At 53.9% G+C, this 15,823-nt stretch overlaps 1 protein-coding gene across 24 annotated transcripts in view, besides 3 other annotated features; it reads left to right on the forward strand.

The window, feature by feature from the left end:
• Positions 1–501: an enhancer, noted in NCBI's record as "H3K27ac hESC enhancer chr11:76893658-76894158 (GRCh37/hg19 assembly coordinates)". NCBI's record gives its function as "activates a minimal SCP1, AML or CMV promoter by ChIP-STARR-seq in naive H9 embryonic stem cells {active_cell/tissue: H9 hESC(naive)}" and the evidence as "EXISTENCE:reporter gene assay evidence [ECO:0000049][PMID:30033119]".
• The window catches only part of MYO7A (myosin VIIA), an 86,996-nt gene that overhangs the window by 54,367 nt on the left and 16,806 nt on the right, over positions 1–15,823 (forward strand). For 15 of the 24 annotated variants that reach the window (XR_001747888.2, NM_001369365.1, NM_000260.4 and 12 more), the window contains 8 exons: positions 456–545; positions 1,976–2,103; positions 6,732–6,858; positions 7,408–7,527; positions 8,085–8,258; positions 9,439–9,666; positions 11,742–11,912; positions 14,869–14,986. Coding sequence is in view for 22 of the 24 variants with exons in the window: in NM_001369365.1 (NP_001356294.1) it covers positions 456–545; positions 1,976–2,103; positions 6,732–6,858; positions 7,408–7,527; positions 8,085–8,258; positions 9,439–9,666; positions 11,742–11,912; positions 14,869–14,986 (1,156 nt within the window). In the remaining 2 variants the exon portion in view is untranslated. Of the gene's footprint in view, positions 1–455; positions 546–1,975; positions 2,104–6,731; positions 6,859–7,407; positions 7,528–8,084; positions 8,259–9,062; positions 9,171–9,438; positions 9,667–9,802; positions 9,984–11,419; positions 11,508–11,741; positions 11,913–14,868; positions 14,987–15,823 lie in introns of those variants that run through there. The other 9 variants (XM_047426971.1, XM_017017778.2, XM_017017779.2 and 6 more) reach the window with 4 other exon arrangements.
• Positions 8,630–9,131: an enhancer, noted in NCBI's record as "H3K4me1 hESC enhancer chr11:76902287-76902788 (GRCh37/hg19 assembly coordinates)". NCBI's record gives its function as "activates a minimal SCP1, AML or CMV promoter by ChIP-STARR-seq in primed H9 embryonic stem cells {active_cell/tissue: H9 hESC(primed)}" and the evidence as "EXISTENCE:reporter gene assay evidence [ECO:0000049][PMID:30033119]".
• Positions 9,132–9,631: an enhancer, noted in NCBI's record as "H3K4me1 hESC enhancer chr11:76902789-76903288 (GRCh37/hg19 assembly coordinates)". NCBI's record gives its function as "activates a minimal SCP1, AML or CMV promoter by ChIP-STARR-seq in primed H9 embryonic stem cells {active_cell/tissue: H9 hESC(primed)}" and the evidence as "EXISTENCE:reporter gene assay evidence [ECO:0000049][PMID:30033119]".

Genomic DNA, 15,823 nt, shown 5'->3' on the forward strand with positions numbered 1-15,823 from the left:
TGCCCTCTGGATGATGTCCCTCCCAGGCCGACAAGGAGGGCCGCTGGCATCACCAGCCTTGGGCTCCTCTGCAGAAAAAGGATCCTATAATTCATCTCTGCCTCACCGACCCCTGCCTGCCACCCTCCTTTGTCTACTTGTGGGAACAAATGTGTGCAACTTTTATAAACTGTAAAGTGCTGACCATAACTGAGGGGCCTCATGGCAGAGCAGACAGGGGCTTTGCAGTTGGAGCCAGCTCCCGTACTATGTTTTTCTGAGTCTCAGTTTTCCTGACTGCCAGTTGGCTAGTGGGGGTGCAAGGGTAGGGGTGAGCAGGTGGACGGTGGCAGTGTGGGGGACACCCTGTAAGCTTCACGTGGAAGCGAGACGGTTCCCCGCAAAGTCTTGCTGTCGGGGGTCTCGACATTGCTTTCTGCTCAGCCACTTGACCCTGATCCCTGCTGGTCCTGCAGGCCCAGCTCCCCGAGGGCCAGAAGAAGAGCAGTGTGAGGCACAAGCTGGTGCATTTGACTCTGAAAAAGAAGTCCAAGCTCACAGAGGAGGTGAGGGCAGACGCTGGGGGTCTGGCAGCCCAGGGGTGGCTGCCTTAGGTGGCCTAGGCTGGAGCACAGCTGAGCTGGGGGCCCACGGAAGCAGGAGCAGGAGTGGACACTGTCTGTCCTCAGGGGTCTTGGCTGGCCAGGGACAGGACAACATGAGTGGGTTGGTGGGCGATCAGGCAGACAGGAGTGTCTGAAGAGGGTGGGATCTCAGGCCGGGGGTGGGAAGGGCTTCCTAGCAGAGGGCACTGAGCAGGGGAGGCCGGTAGCGGCACAGCTGAGAGGGAATACACTTCTAGCCGGGCACAGACCCGAGGCACTTGGTCCAAGGACCTTTGAGGCATGGGAGCTTTCTGTGGAACAAGAGTGCTCATGGAGCATGAACAGGATTAATTTATTTGAATTCATTCTTCAGTCACTTTGCCTTTTCTGGGCACTGTCCCAGCCCTTGTGCTCTGGGGTTGTCCAGGCTGGTGTGTGTGTGGCAGGGGAGGATACACTGGAGAGGCAGACACAAACCAAGGCATTCACAGCCTTGGGGGCCAGGCCCCCATCCCCACATTTGCACATGCCAGTCCCTCTGCCTGAAACTCCTCCTTTCTCTGCCTGGGGTCACCTCCTCCAGGAAGCCTCCCCAGCTCCTCCACTGCAGAGTCAGGGGCTCCCACTTCACCTCTGCCCTTGTCCTGTCCCCACCTGAGGCACAAATCCAGCCTTGCAGGTGTGTGGCCTCAGATTTGAATCCCACCTCTGCCGCTTAGTATTCAAGGGACCCAGGGAAGAAAATGCCCACTCCGTGGGGTCCTGGGAAGAAGGCAGAAATGGCAGCCGAGGGTGTTCAGTGGTGCTCCCTGTCTGCACCACCCACTCCTGCCGCTCGCCTCTCACTCACCCTACATCCTCTGGGCAGAGCTCGGGGCTTGTGCTGTGGGCTGTGTGGGATGAGAGAGGAGAAACATCTCATAAGAACTGGTGTGAGGCTGGTCACATCGGGGCTAAGGGTGTTGGTGACAGAGTGGTGGTGACTGGTGGTTGGAACCTGGAGTATACTCCAGGTGCCACAGTTATGTTGGCGGGGGCACCCCAGAGAGATAGGGGTCCCGCTTGGAGTCAGAGGATCATGTCCCTGTCCTGGCTGAGAGGACCTCCCTGGGGTGGGGTGTGGGGTGCAGGGTATCGAGGAGGTGGCCAGAGGAGCTCTGTCCCCAGAAGTGGGTGGCACCGGGCCAGTGTGCCCCTGCTGTGTGGGCCAGTTATTGGCCCAGCATCTGCTGTGCACGTGGCAGGGGTAATGACAGTGATGGGGAGCCCAGTTCTTCTGCTCACTCCTTAGATTCTGTTTTCTGGGGAGCAGGCAGCCTCGGGTGCTGGTGCCCTGGCTGGCAGGGGAACACCCCTAACTTTACCTGCCCTGTCCTCTCCCTCTGGCCCAGGTGACCAAGAGGCTGCATGACGGGGAGTCCACAGTGCAGGGCAACAGCATGCTGGAGGACCGGCCCACCTCCAACCTGGAGAAGCTGCACTTCATCATCGGCAATGGCATCCTGCGGCCAGCACTCCGGTCAGTGCCGGGAGGCGGGGACACCAGGGCCTGAAAGTCTTTTGGTGGCTGAGTGGTGCCTCTGTCAACCTAGCAAGAGATTAAGCCAAGCAGGCCTGGGTTTGGCTTCGCTGCTAGCTAGTTGGTGGAGTTAGGACCTTGGTGGAGTTATTTCATCTTTCTAAGCCTCTGATTCCTTGTCTGTAAAGGGGGAATCCTAAAACAGGCATCCCTTGGAGATATTGCAGGTTCAGTTGAAGGCCACAGAAATAAATATCACAATAAAGAGAGCTGCAGAAATATTTTGGTTTCCCAGTGCATATAAAAGTCATATTTATACTATACTATAGTCTATGAAGTATGAAATAGCATTATGTCTAAAAAATGTAGACATCTTGATTAGAAATTAATGCCAAAAATGCTAATGGTCATCTGAAAGTTGTATCTATTTGCTGGAGGGTCTTGCCTTGATGTTGATGGCTGCTGACTGATCAGAGTGGTGGTTGCTGAAGGTCGAGGTGGCTGCGACAATTTATTAAGATAAGACAACAGTGAGATTTGCTTTCACACAAAATTTCTCTGTAGCATGCAATGCTGTTTGACAGCATTTTACCCACAGTAGAACTTCTTTCAAAATTGGAGTCGATCCTCTCAAACCCTGCTGCTGCTTTATCAATTAAGTTGATGCAATATTCTAAATCCTTTGTTGTCATTTCAACAATGTTCACAGCATCTTCACCAATAGATTCCATCTCAAGAAACCACTTTCTTTGCTCCTCCATAAGAGGCAACTCCTCATCCACTGAAATTTGATCATGACATTGCAGCAACTCAGTTCCATCCTCAGGCCCCACTTCTCATTCTAGTTCTCTTGCTATTTATTTCCACCACATCTGCAGTTACTTCCTCTTGAAGTCTTGAGCCCCTCAGTCATTCATGAAGTTTGGAATCCACTTCTTCTAAACTCCTATTGATGTTAATAATTTGACCTCCTTCTACGAATCATGAATGTTCTGAATGGCACTGAGAATAGTGAATACTTTCCAGAAGCTTTTCCATTGATTTTGCCCAGATCCACCAGAGGAATCACTATCTATGGCAGCAATAGTCTTATAAAATGTATTTCTTAAATAAGACTTGAAAGCCAAAATTACTCCTTGATCCATAGGTTGCAGAATGGATGTTGCATTAGCAGGCATGAAAATAACATTCGTCTCCTTGTACATCATTTTTTTTTTTTTTTTTGGAGACAGAGTCTCACTCTGTTGCCCAGGCTGGAGTGCAGTGGCGCCATCTCAGCTCACTGCAACCTCTGCCTCCCGGGTTCAAGCAATTCTCCTGCCTCAGCCTCCCGAGTGGCTGGGACTACAGGTGCCCACCACCACATCCAGCTAATTTTTGTATTTTTAGTAGAGACGGGGTTTCACCATGTTGCCAGGCTGGTCTTGAACTCCTGACCCTGTGATCCACCCACCTCAGCCTCCCAAAATGCTGGGATTCCAGGTGTAAGCCCCTGCAGCCAGCCTCTTGTACATAATTTTTAAGAGCCCCAGAATTTTTGGAATGGTCACTGAGCATTGGCTTCAATTGAAAGTCAGCAGTGCATTAGCTCCTGACAGGAGAGTCAGCCTGTCTTTTGAAGCCTTGAAGCCAGCCATTGACTTCTCTCTAGCTATGAAAGTCCTAGATGACATCTTCTTCCAATAGAAGGCTGGTTCATCTACATGGAAAATCTGCTGTTGAGTGTAATCACCTTCATCAATGATTCTAGCTAGACCTTCTGGAAAACTTGTTGCAGCTTCTCCACCAGCACTTGTTGCTTCACCTTGCACTTTTATATTTTGGAGACAGCTTCTTGCTTTGAACCTCATGAGGCGATCTCTGTGAGCCTCCAACTTACCTTCTGCAACTTCCTTACCTCTCTCAGCCTTCATAGAATTGAAGAGACAGTCTTCCTCTAGATTAGGCTTTGGCTTAAGGGAATGTTGTGGCTGGTTTGATCTATTCAGACCCCTAAAATTTTCTCCATATCAGCAAATAAGGCTGTTTCACTTTCCTATCATTTGCATGTTCACTGGAGTAGCATTTTTGATGTCCTTCAGGAACTATTCCTTTGCATTCACAAGTTGGTTAACTGCTTTGCACAAGAGGCCCAGCTTTTGGTCTATCTCGGCTTTCAACATGCTTTCCTCTCTAATCATTTCTAGCTTTTGATTAAAAGTGAAAAATGTGCGACGCTTCCTTTCACTTGAACACTTAGAGGCCATTTTAGGGTTATTAATTGGCCTAATTTCAATATGAATGTGTCTCAGGGAATCAGGAGGCGTGAGGAGAGGGAGTGAGATGGGGGAATGGCTGGTTGGTAGAGCAGTCAGAACACATCTAACATTTATCAGTTAGGTTTGCCATATTCTATGGGCACGATTCATGGTGCACAAAACAATTACAATAGTAACGTTAAAGATTAGTGATCACAGATCACAGCAAATATAATAATAAAGTTTGAGATATTTCTAGTATTGCCAAAATGTGACAGAAACGGGAAGTGAGCACATGCTGTTGGAGAAATGGTGCTGGTAGACTTGCTCCATGCAGAGTCGTCATAAACCAATTTGTAAAAAATGCAATGTCTGCAAAGTGTAATAAAGTGAAGTACAGTAAAATGAGGTGTGCCTGCAGTAGCTACCTCATACATAGGCTTGTGGGAAGATAAAGCTATGAAAACTGTGTAGCACCAGACCTGGAGCATAGTAAGCGCCCCGTAGATGGTAGCTTTGATCATCATCATCCAACATGCATTTCCTGCTTTAACCCCGCTGCCGCCAGCTCACCTCCAGTCACCCACCCTAGGCCCACGGTTAAGGTTACTGTGCCTGGGAATCCTGCAAGTACCTCCTTCCCCACAGGGCCAGGAGAGGCCTTTACCCAGGTCCCTGGGGTTTTGGGGAGTTGAAGGGAAGACCCAGGAGTCACCAGGAGCCACCAAAAAATCAACTCAGCTGATGAGAGGAGGGCTAGGACTTTTCTGAGAACAGTCTCTGCATAGGACAGGTCTGTCGGGAGAGCTGATGCCATGAATGTGTGCATGCTGGTTGGGAGGACAGCAGGATGAGGCAGGGACCAAGCCCCACTTTCCTGATGGGGAAACTGAGGTCCAGAGTAGGGAAGAGATTTGCCCAGGGGTCACTAGGCCTCCTGCCTCCTATCAGGCCCCCGTTTTTATCTCCCCAAGGCTAGTCACTACCTCACCGGGGTGGCCACACTGCCCAGGGCCACCTGCCAACAGGAGGAAAAGGCAGCTGCTGCAGGCGTGTCTCAGGGGCAAGAATTTGCCTCCAAATTATCTCACCATCATACCTAAAGCTGACACTTCTAGGAAACACGGTGCCAGGAGCCCTGAACCAAGAGTCCAAAGGCTGGGGTGTCAACTCCTTGAGGGGCCTCACACGGCTAATCCCTCCCTGCTCTCAGCCTCTGTCTCCCCATCTGTAAAGTGAGTGGAGACTCCCAGCTGCAGGTGATAATATCTCACTAGTCTGTGGCAAGGTGGGAAAAGGAGGGATGTTTCTGAAGCTAAACTTGTTTTCTTTAAAGGACTGCTCTGAGACTTTGCCCTCCTACTGTTTGGAAATTTAAAATTACCTTTGTTTTATGAGATAATTGGGATCTAGATAGTGGGCAGGTTGTGTGTGTTATAAATGTTCTCATTTATCATGATAAAAAAATGGGTAACTTCAGAATTTTCTTTGAAATTATAAACTCTCAAAACTGTTGAGCCACTGAATTAGGTAATCCCAGCCATCCTTTGGGAGAGAAGAGCAGCAGTGAGTGCCCCCTGGCGGACACTGCATCGTCATGTGTCCTGCCCTTGTCCTTGAACAGGCAGGCTGCAGTCTTAGAGTACTCAGTTTGCAGAAGAGAAGAACAAGCCCAGCAATAATTGCAGCTGGCATTTATGAGGGGTTCACTGTGCCTGGCACTGTGCTAGGTGTGTCATAAGCCTTGGCTCATTCATCTTCACAGCAATCTTGTAAGGATTCCTTTAAAATGAACACCAAAAAATTACCTTAATTGTTTTCATCCCATTACAAAAGTCATACATGGCCCCTTAAGTATTCACACATTACAGAAATATACCAGAGACAAAGTCCCTACTCATTCCATCCCCCAGTGACACCCCAGGATGCTTTTCCTGTTTCCGCTTTGTCCGTTGCCATGGGTAGAAGTTGCACCTGCTGCCGTGACTATGGGCTGGGATCAGAGAGGCGAACTCACCTGCCTGGGCCACCAGCTGGTTAGGAACGAGGCAGAGGCGGGGACTGTGCTTCTCATTAGCATGGTCACCTGTGGCTGTGGCTGCGGCTGCTGAGCCCAGAGCAGGATACGCACCACCCTGGATGGTGGGGCCCTGGCTGTGGGAACTGGATTGGAGTTGGGGAGGTGCTTTATGCCCGATGATCCTGTCTCCAAAGCCAGACCCCAGCCCTTGGCTCAGCCCTGCCACCCAGCCTCACTCTGCCTCCTCCCGGGTGGTCTTGGCAAGTTGGAGAGGACAGCTGTGTGGCGTCCCACTGGCTGCTAGGAGGAGGTGGGGACCGGGGCTGTTCCTGTGGGGTGATTCCCCCTCCCTTGCCCTGCTGCCTGCCCAGGGACGAGATCTACTGCCAGATCAGCAAGCAGCTGACCCACAACCCCTCCAAGAGCAGCTATGCCCGGGGCTGGATTCTCGTGTCTCTCTGCGTGGGCTGTTTCGCCCCCTCCGAGAAGTTTGTCAAGGTAGGAAGGTGCCTGGCCTCCTGGAGTGGGAAGGGGAGCTAGGCCCTGTCCCAGCACTGTGGGGAGAGCAATAGCCAGGGGCTCCAAAGGGCCTGGTCACAAGGCCCACCCGGCCACTCCTTACTGAGCCCCATCTTCCTGGCACCCCCTCCTCTCAGGCAGCCACCTCTTTTCCCCACACTCCCCTCAGCCCCATTCTACTTAGGAGGGGGCTGAGTCTGACAGGAGCGTGTCCCAGGCCCTCTGCACCCTCGTCTTGGGGCAGGCCCTGGGCGCTGGGGTCAGAGTGGAGCAGGTCATGGCAGGACCGACCCGACTGGCTGGTGCTGTGAAGGGGTATGGGGAGGAGCCACTAGGCTAAGCTAGCGGGAGGTGGGGGAGGCCACAGACGTGGCTGGAAATAGATGGTGGAGCTGAGAGGGTAGGGAAGCCACAGAAAGCAACCTGGCCTGGAGGAGCGGCCTCCAAGTGCCGGGAGGGCCTGGCGGCTGCCCTCAAAATCCACATGGGGAGCCCCAGGGGCCGCCTCAGCGGGTACTCTGGCTGCAGTACCTGCGGAACTTCATCCACGGGGGCCCGCCCGGCTACGCCCCGTACTGTGAGGAGCGCCTGAGAAGGACCTTTGTCAATGGGACACGGACACAGCCGCCCAGCTGGCTGGAGCTGCAGGTTCGTGCGTGTGTATGCACGTGCTCGTGTGCATGTGTGCGCACGTGTGTAAATGCGTGTGTGTGTGTGTCCAGTGCACTCGAGTGCCCCAGAAACATTCCCTGCTTTGAGATTCTGTGGTTCCTCAGACACCTACCCTCAAGTTCTGGAACCCCAGGCCCATCGGAACAGAAAAGCCCCCAAAGGATGAGGGACTCCATTTGCTGGCCTTACGGTCAAGACGACTTGGGCAAAGGAGATTCCCTCTGTGTCTCAATGCCTTTACCTGCCACATGGTGAAGGTTATATGAAGTGATAGCAGAGACCCCTGGCCTGTGGCAGTGCCTGACCTCTCAGCCCCAGGCCCTGGCTCAGGGGTCCTAAAGGTCCCATTGGGGTGGGGTGCACAGCAGGGCTCCCTGGACACCTGTGACAGGGACAAGCAGTGTCCCAGTGAGGTACTGGGGCCTGGGGTGCTGGGGCACCTCCAACCCCACAGAAAGCAGAGAGCCAAAGTCCAGAGGGGCAGGCAGGTCTGAAGGGAAGGGACCCCACAAACCCTCTTGGGGCACTTCCAGGCCACCAAGTCCAAGAAGCCAATCATGTTGCCCGTGACATTCATGGATGGGACCACCAAGACCCTGCTGACGGACTCGGCAACCACGGCCAAGGAGCTCTGCAACGCGCTGGCCGACAAGATCTCTCTCAAGGACCGGTTCGGGTTCTCCCTCTACATTGCCCTGTTTGACAAGGTATGGCCGCCCGGAAGCACCTCCTCCCGGAAGCACCTCCTCCCGGCCCCACTCCGGGCTGCCAGTGCTGCCACCTACTTGCCGGGGCTATTCACCCTTGAGCACCTCGGTTTCCCCCTGAGCCTGTGCTAATTGGCTCTGCCTGACTCCTCAGGACTGCCGAGAACTCGGCCAGGTGCGGTGGTTCACACCTGTAATCCCAGCACTTTGGGAGGCTGAGGCGGGCAGATCACAAAGTCAGGAGTTCGAGACCAGCCTGGCTAATGTAGTGAAACCTCGTCTCTACTAAAAATACAAAAATTAGTGGAGCACGGTGGCGCACGCCTGTAGTCCCAGCTACTCGGGAGGCTGAGGTAGGAGAATCACTTGAACCCAGGAGGTGGAGGTTGTGGTGAGCTGAGATCGCACCACTGCACTCCAGCCTGGGCGACAGAGCGAGACTCCATCTCAAAAAAACAAACAAACAAAAAACTGCTGAGTGCTCTTCAGCACCTGAGGGAAAACCCAGCAGTAGGATGTCCTCAGTCCTGTGTCCTCAGGCCCAGTGAATCCTCTCCTGGTGCTGAAGGAAGAGCATGGCACAGGCTGATGGGAGGGCTGCGCAGCCCTTGTGTGCAGATGGGAATGGAATTCCCTCTCAGGTTGCCACGGCATCTGATGGAGAAACTCCTCAGCAAACAGGAGTTCCTTCACACTTGCCCTGAAGCAGCTGGAGTGTGGGCGTCCCGCAGACTCACCTCGGAGGCTGGAGCCTCCTCGGCTGAGCGGGACCTGGGGCTTGGGTGATTTTGCCTCCACCCCCAGCAACGTCATGCTCAGCAGAGGGGCCCCCGCCCACAAGCCCAGGGGAGGTACCGTGTTGCTGGACACAGTTTGCCTGGATTTTTCTCACCGATGCTCTTATGTTTCCAGGTACTGTCTGTTCAGTTTCCCAAAAAGCTTCCACTAGAAAATGGGAATTCCCACGTCACCGTGCCCAGAACTGAGGCTAGGAAGGCAATGGTGGGGGTGCGGCTTAGAGCCCAGGGCTAGAATCTGGTCTGCCTCCTGGGGGCCTTGGACGTGTCCCTGCCCCTCGCTGGGCCTCCGTTTTCTGTCTGAACTGACCGTTGGCCCCGTTGAGGCTCCTCATAGTCCTTCCCTGACTCTGTGCCTGCTCCCCTCCCCTCTGTGCCCACAGGTGTCCTCCCTGGGCAGCGGCAGTGACCACGTCATGGACGCCATCTCCCAGTGCGAGCAGTACGCCAAGGAGCAGGGCGCCCAGGAGCGCAACGCCCCCTGGAGGCTCTTCTTCCGCAAAGAGGTCTTCACGCCCTGGCACAGCCCCTCCGAGGACAACGTGGCCACCAACCTCATCTACCAGCAGGTGGTGCGAGGAGTCAAGTTTGGGGAGTACAGGTGTGAGAAGGTGAGTGGGAGGGAATCTTCCGCCAGGCTGGCTTGGCTCACAGCCTCCTGCTTTCCACGTTTGGGCTGAGTGCTCCTCTGTGAGCCATCATTAGCTCAGGCTGGGGTGAGCCTGACTGCAACCAGGCACTCTTCAGGCTCCTGGATGGACACCGCCTACTTCAGGGGGCTCGTGAGGAGAGGCGAGATGGCGGGAGCAAGGGCTTCTGAGGATGTCCTGAATTCCACCAGTGGAGGAGGCCCCCACACTGCTGTAGTGACTGTGCGTGCTACAGAGGACGTGCCGCAGGACCTGCTGCACCATTCTGAGTATATCTAGTAAGCGCTGCATTAAATGAGAAATACAGCCATTCCTTGAGATCAGAATTTGCAAATGTGTATTCTTTTTTCTCCTTCTGAGGACAGGAGTTATGTGGTTGTTTTGTTTTCGATAATGGTAATGGTAGCTATGGTTCTGTTGGTGATTGTGATGGAGGGATGAGAAAGGAGGTGGTGGAAATGAAGAGGATAGTTGGTGGTAGTAACGTTGGTGGAGGTAGTGATGATGGTTGGTGGTGATGGTGGAGGTAGTGATGGTGTTGGTAATGATGATGGTGGTGATGGTGGAGGAGGTAGTGATGGTGTTGGTGATGGTGGAGGGTAGTGATGGTGTTGTTTGTGATGGTGGAGGTAGTGATGGTGTTGGTGATGGTGGAGGTAGTTGTGATGGTGGAGGTAGTGATGCTGTTGGTGATGGTGGAGGTAGCGATGGTGTTGTTGGTGATGGTGGAGGTGGTGATGGTGTTGGTGATGGTGGAGGTAGTTGTTTGTGATGGTGGAGGTAGTGATGCTGTTGGTGATGGTGGAGGTAGCGATGCTGTTGGTGATCGTGGAGGTAGCGATGGTGTTGGTGATGGTGGAGGTAGTGATGTTAGTGATGAGGTATTGTTGGTACTGATGACTATGGTAATATTGGAGGTAGGGATGATGTTAGTGATGGTGGTGGTGGTGGTGATGGTGGAGGTAGTGATGGTGTTGGTGGTGATGACAGTGTTGTGGGTAGTGATGATAGTGGTGATGGTAAAGGTAGTGATGGTGGTGTTGACAATGACAGTGTTGTTGGTAATGATGGTGATGGTGGAGGCAGTGATGGTGTTGGTGATGACAGTGTTGTTGGTAGTGATAATGATGGTGATGGTGGAGGCATAGTGTTGGTAGTGATGATGGTGGTGATGGTGGAGGCAGTAATGATGTTGGTGATAGTGTTGGCAGTGATGGTGGTGATGGTGGAGGTAGTGGTGGTAGTTTTGTTGGTGATAGTGGTGATGATAATGGTGGTATTGGTGGTAAGCAAATATTCAGGCGGAGTGCATTAGTATAGCCACATCAGTTGCTAAAATTCTGAAATATTTCAAACTGGTTGGAAAATATCTATTGCCTCCAAGGCCCCCAAGAGCCTTTCTCTATGCCCTTGCTGCTGGAGCCCTGGGGAGCTCTAGGTAGGCATCACTGGGGCTGCTGTGCACCAGGCCAGGCAGAGAAGGGGCAAATGCCCAGTGGCCACTTGGCTCTCTGAACCCTCTGCAGTAGATCCTGCCAGCTGTTAACCACTTTAACTGTCCCCCAAGTGCTTAACGGTGGTAATGGTGATGGAGGCAGTCACAGTGATGCACTTCCCTCACTCTGACCCTGCCAGCAGACCCTAGGTGTCTCCCATTCTCCAGGGCAGACACTTCCTCTTCTGCTGTTTGTCAGCTCTGGTCGCTGTCTCACAGGGCTGAGTGTGCAGTGGCTGCTCGATGGGCTGGCTTGTTTCTTTGCATCACTTCATGTGCCCCTGGGCAGAGTCCAGCTCCATGCCAGTGCCAGAGGGATCCAGGAGAAGGTGAGGGTGTGGCCCTGCCCTTGGGGAGCTCATGGTTCCTCTGAGCAGACAAGAATTCCCTGGTGAATCAGTGAGAAGCCTGGGTCCCAAAGGCCAGGCTCTGAGAGCTACAGGAGGCAGGGCCAGGAGAGGGGCCTGGAGCCTTTGGTGGTGTGGAAGGGCTTCCTGGAGGGGCCTGGGCCAATGCATGACCGAGGCCTCCCCCCACCTAGGAGGACGACCTGGCTGAGCTGGCCTCCCAGCAGTACTTTGTAGACTATGGCTCTGAGATGATCCTGGAGCGCCTCCTGAACCTCGTGCCCACCTACATCCCCGACCGCGAGATCACGCCCCTGAAGACGCTGGAGAAGTGGGCCCAGCTGGCCATCGCCGCCCACAAGAAGGTAGAAGGGCTGAGAGGAGTCCTAGAGAAGGGATGTGGACCTGAACAACCAAGGAGGTCCCAGGCCTCATCTGAACCTCTCTGTTGGGGCTGCGGGGGATGGGATGGCACCTTCCAGTGGCCCTTCCTTCATTGGACATCAGCTCACTCATTCTCCTTCCATCTGTGTGCCAGGCACACAGAGGGAATCAGACTTAACCTTGCAGCCTCTGTGGGGCCATGGGTATTGGGGCCCCTTTCCTGGTCTTGTGCCAGCCCCTCATTGGTGTTATAGCTTCCAGAGCTGCAGCTCAGGAGTGGCGGTGGATGCTAGACAGAGCTTTAGGAATTGTACCTCCTTTTTCCTAAAAGAACTCCAGCCCAACTTCCCGCCTGGGGAGCTTTAGGGACAGGCCCCCTTGACCCTCTTGCTTGGAGCCCAGGCCCATGACCAGCCATGAGTGGTTCCCTCCCAAGCTAAGAGCCTGGCCAGGTAGAGCAGGGGTATCCAGATGGGGAGAAGGTGGGAGCACTGGCTGCTGGTAGGGGACCCAAGGCCGCCTCATCTCCATGGCCCTGGCTGTGCAAGAGAATTGCCCCCGTACATAAGTCGAGGGCTCCATAGTCTGAGGGCACCACAGACCCGGATCTCACCCCTCCACCTCGTGGCCTCCGTCCTCACCCGGGAGCCCTGTGCCACCCTCCACCTGACCGTGTGCCTTCTCTGGTCAGCTCCCCGCCAGCCTCTGCCTCTCCCTGAGTCCTGAGTGCTCCCTGCGCCAGCCTGCTTCCCCCGAGGCCCGAACCCCCCCGAACCCCACTTCAGAGGAGGAGCGTCTCCTCCCTGCCACCCCTCTGTCCCTCAAGTGAGAGCCCTGCCCTTCATCCTCAGGCACCTCCTCTCCCTTGGCCCTCACATGCCGGCAGCCACTGCAGCCTGTCCAGCTAACTCCCAAACAGCTGCAGCCTCCACCCCCACCTCCCTGAGGGCCTCCTCGGGGCTCACTGCCATTGTGGCATATGGTACGTCCTGGGTGGGGTGCTATTATTATGCATTCATTTTATTTTGGGCATTTGTCATGTGCTGGGCACCATACCAGGACCTGGAGACACAGCCCTTTGTGGGACAGACATGGTTTCTGCCCTTTGGAGCCCACAGCTGAGCTGGGTCTCTCCTGGACTGGAGCTCCTCAGAGTGTCTGTCCCAGAGCCCTGGGCCAGGCCCCACATAGAATGGACAGTTGTGAATCACAGTTTTTGTAGGGTGGGAGGGTGCATTGTTCATTTTCTAGGTCTGCCATAACAAAGTGCCACAGACTAGGTAGTTTCAACAACAGAAATAAATGTATTTCCTTCTAGTTCTGGAGCCTGGAGCTCCGAGATCAAGGTGTCAGCAGGGGCTTTCTCCTGAGGCTTCTCCTCTCGGCCTGCAGATGGCTGTCTTCTCCATCTGTCACCACACAGTGATGTGTGCACATGCACGTCTGAGTCCAAATATCCTGCTCTTAAAAGGGCACGGGACATATTGGATTACAGCCCACCCAAGATATCTCATTAGTGACCTCTTTAAAGACCTTATCTCTGGGCCAGGCGCGGTGGCTCACGCCTGTAATCCCAGCACTTTGGGAGGCCAAGGCGGGCGGATCATGAGGTCAGGAGTTTGAGACGAGCCTGGCCAACATGGCAAAACCCCGTCTCTACTAAAAATGCAAAAATTCACCAGGCGTGGTGGTGGGTGCCTGTGATCCTAGCTACTCGGAGACTGAGGCAGGAGAATCACTTGAACTCGGGAGGCGGAGGTTGCAGTGAGCCAAGATCCTGCCATTGCACTCCAGCCTGGGGGACAAGAGCAAGACTCCTTCTCAAAAAAAAAAAAAAGGAGCTTATCTCCAAATAGGGTTACATTCTGAGTTGCTGGGGGTGAGGACTTTAATACGCAAATATGGTAGGTTGGGGAAGGAAGCACACAATTCAGTCCATAACAGGTGTTTTGAAAACATCTTATTTTGAAATAATTTCAAAGTTATGGAGAAATTGCACGTTCAAAAAAGTAGGACTGCTATGTGCACTTCACTTCCCAGATTCACTGGGTGATAGCCACACTTGCTCAGTGATTTGTCTCTCTGCCTACATATGTATTTTCTCTGAGTCATTTGAGCTTGGGTTGGTGACATTGAGCTCTTTGCCTCTGAATTCTCACCGCTCTCAGGATGGCACCCCTCATGGGCTCTCATGGGTGGAGATGGGGCCGTCTGTGAGCTGGCATACACATCCACCCTTACCTATGCCTGTGTCTACATTCTATAAAAACCAGGATTTCACTCTGACCCCTCCAATGCTACCCCAGAACCCCAGAGTTCTCACTAGGGCTTGGGGGAATATTTTTAGAGAAACACAATGCCGGTGCTTTTGTATCTTACCAAGAGCACAGCAGCACCCCTCACGGATCACCTCACCTCCAGGCTCCAGTTCTCCCTTGACACACTGATCTTTCTAACTCCCAGATTCACCAGATCAGTTTCTTGCAGTTGTGGCTGCACTCACAGTCCCCCAGGACCTGGCTCCGCACGCTGTGTCCCCATTCCCTCTCTTCCCCGTCTGCCCTGCCCACGCCTCTGCTGCACCAGCACACGCCTCCTACTGACCCCAGGGCCTTGGGCCTCCCACATGCTCTGCCTGGAATCCTTGCTTCCCTGTCTCTGCTGAACTGGGAACTCCCTGGAGGGGCAGCTATGCTTTCTCTGACTTTGGGCCCCAGCACCTGCATAGAGCTGGCACTCAAAAGTGCTCGCCGATGTTGACGAATGAGAAAGGTGGGGACAGGGTGGCTGCAGACAGATGGGAGCAGGGCAAGGCCACGATGCACAGGAGGTGCAGGAGCCCCAGGCTGCTCCTGGCTAGAAGGCAGCAGCAGCTGATTTTTAGAGCAAACTCACTCGTATGTTGTCTTCTGTCCCTCTGTCCCTCTCTCCTTCCAGGGGATTTATGCCCAGAGGAGAACTGATGCCCAGAAGGTCAAAGAGGATGTGGTCAGTTATGCCCGCTTCAAGTGGCCCTTGCTCTTCTCCAGGTTTTATGAAGCCTACAAATTCTCAGGTACCCCGCAGCCTGCAATGCTCCCAGTCCCTTGCTCTGTAGCTCCAGCCCACAGCCTACAAATTCTCAGGTACCCCGCAGCCTGCAATGCTCCCAGTCCCTTGCTCTGTAGCTCCAGCCCACAGCCTACAAATTCTCAGGTACCCCACAGCCTGCAATGCTCCCAGTCCCTTGCTCTGTAGCTCCAGCCCACAGCAGGGGAGGGAAACGTCTTGAGCCAGGGGCCCCCGTCAGTGGACCTCTTGCCTGCGGGATGCTTGGTCTGCTCTGGTCAATGCTGCTGAGTGGGTCCTGCCTCCCCAACACCCGGTAGCGACTCCATGGCACATCTTCTGTGCTCAGTGGTGCACGGGATTGAAAAACTGAGTGAGGATTGATTCATTAAGGCACATACTATGTATACAACAGGGTGGCCCAGGGTTCAGACAGGGCCAGCCCTGCTGGGCCGACTCTGTGAAGTCGAGAGTAGCAGATAAAAACCCACACAGGCCACTGGCTCAGCCATCCTCGGGCCATCGTTACTGGGCACCTGCTGTGTGCCAGGCCCTGTGCTGATGCTGCTGTTCACAGAACCACCGAGCACCAGGGCCGGAGGGAACCCTGGGCCTCAGTCCAACCCCTCCCCAGATCCCGCCTTAGTGCAGGGCAGGGGCTTGTCCAAAGCTGCACAAAGACCAGTGGCAGGAGTGGGACCCAAACCAATTTCCCAATTGAACACTCTCTTCCTACTGCACTTTGGGTTTTGGCACGTAGCGAGTTTGTGCTCTCTGAGCCTCAGTTTCCATATCTATAAAATAGAAATCAGTGTATTGCCACCTGCCTGGCCGTTATGAGATT

Source organism: Homo sapiens, chromosome 11, assembly GCF_000001405.40.
Source record: "Homo sapiens chromosome 11, GRCh38.p14 Primary Assembly".
NCBI classification, from domain to species: Eukaryota; Metazoa; Chordata; class Mammalia; order Primates; family Hominidae; genus Homo; species Homo sapiens.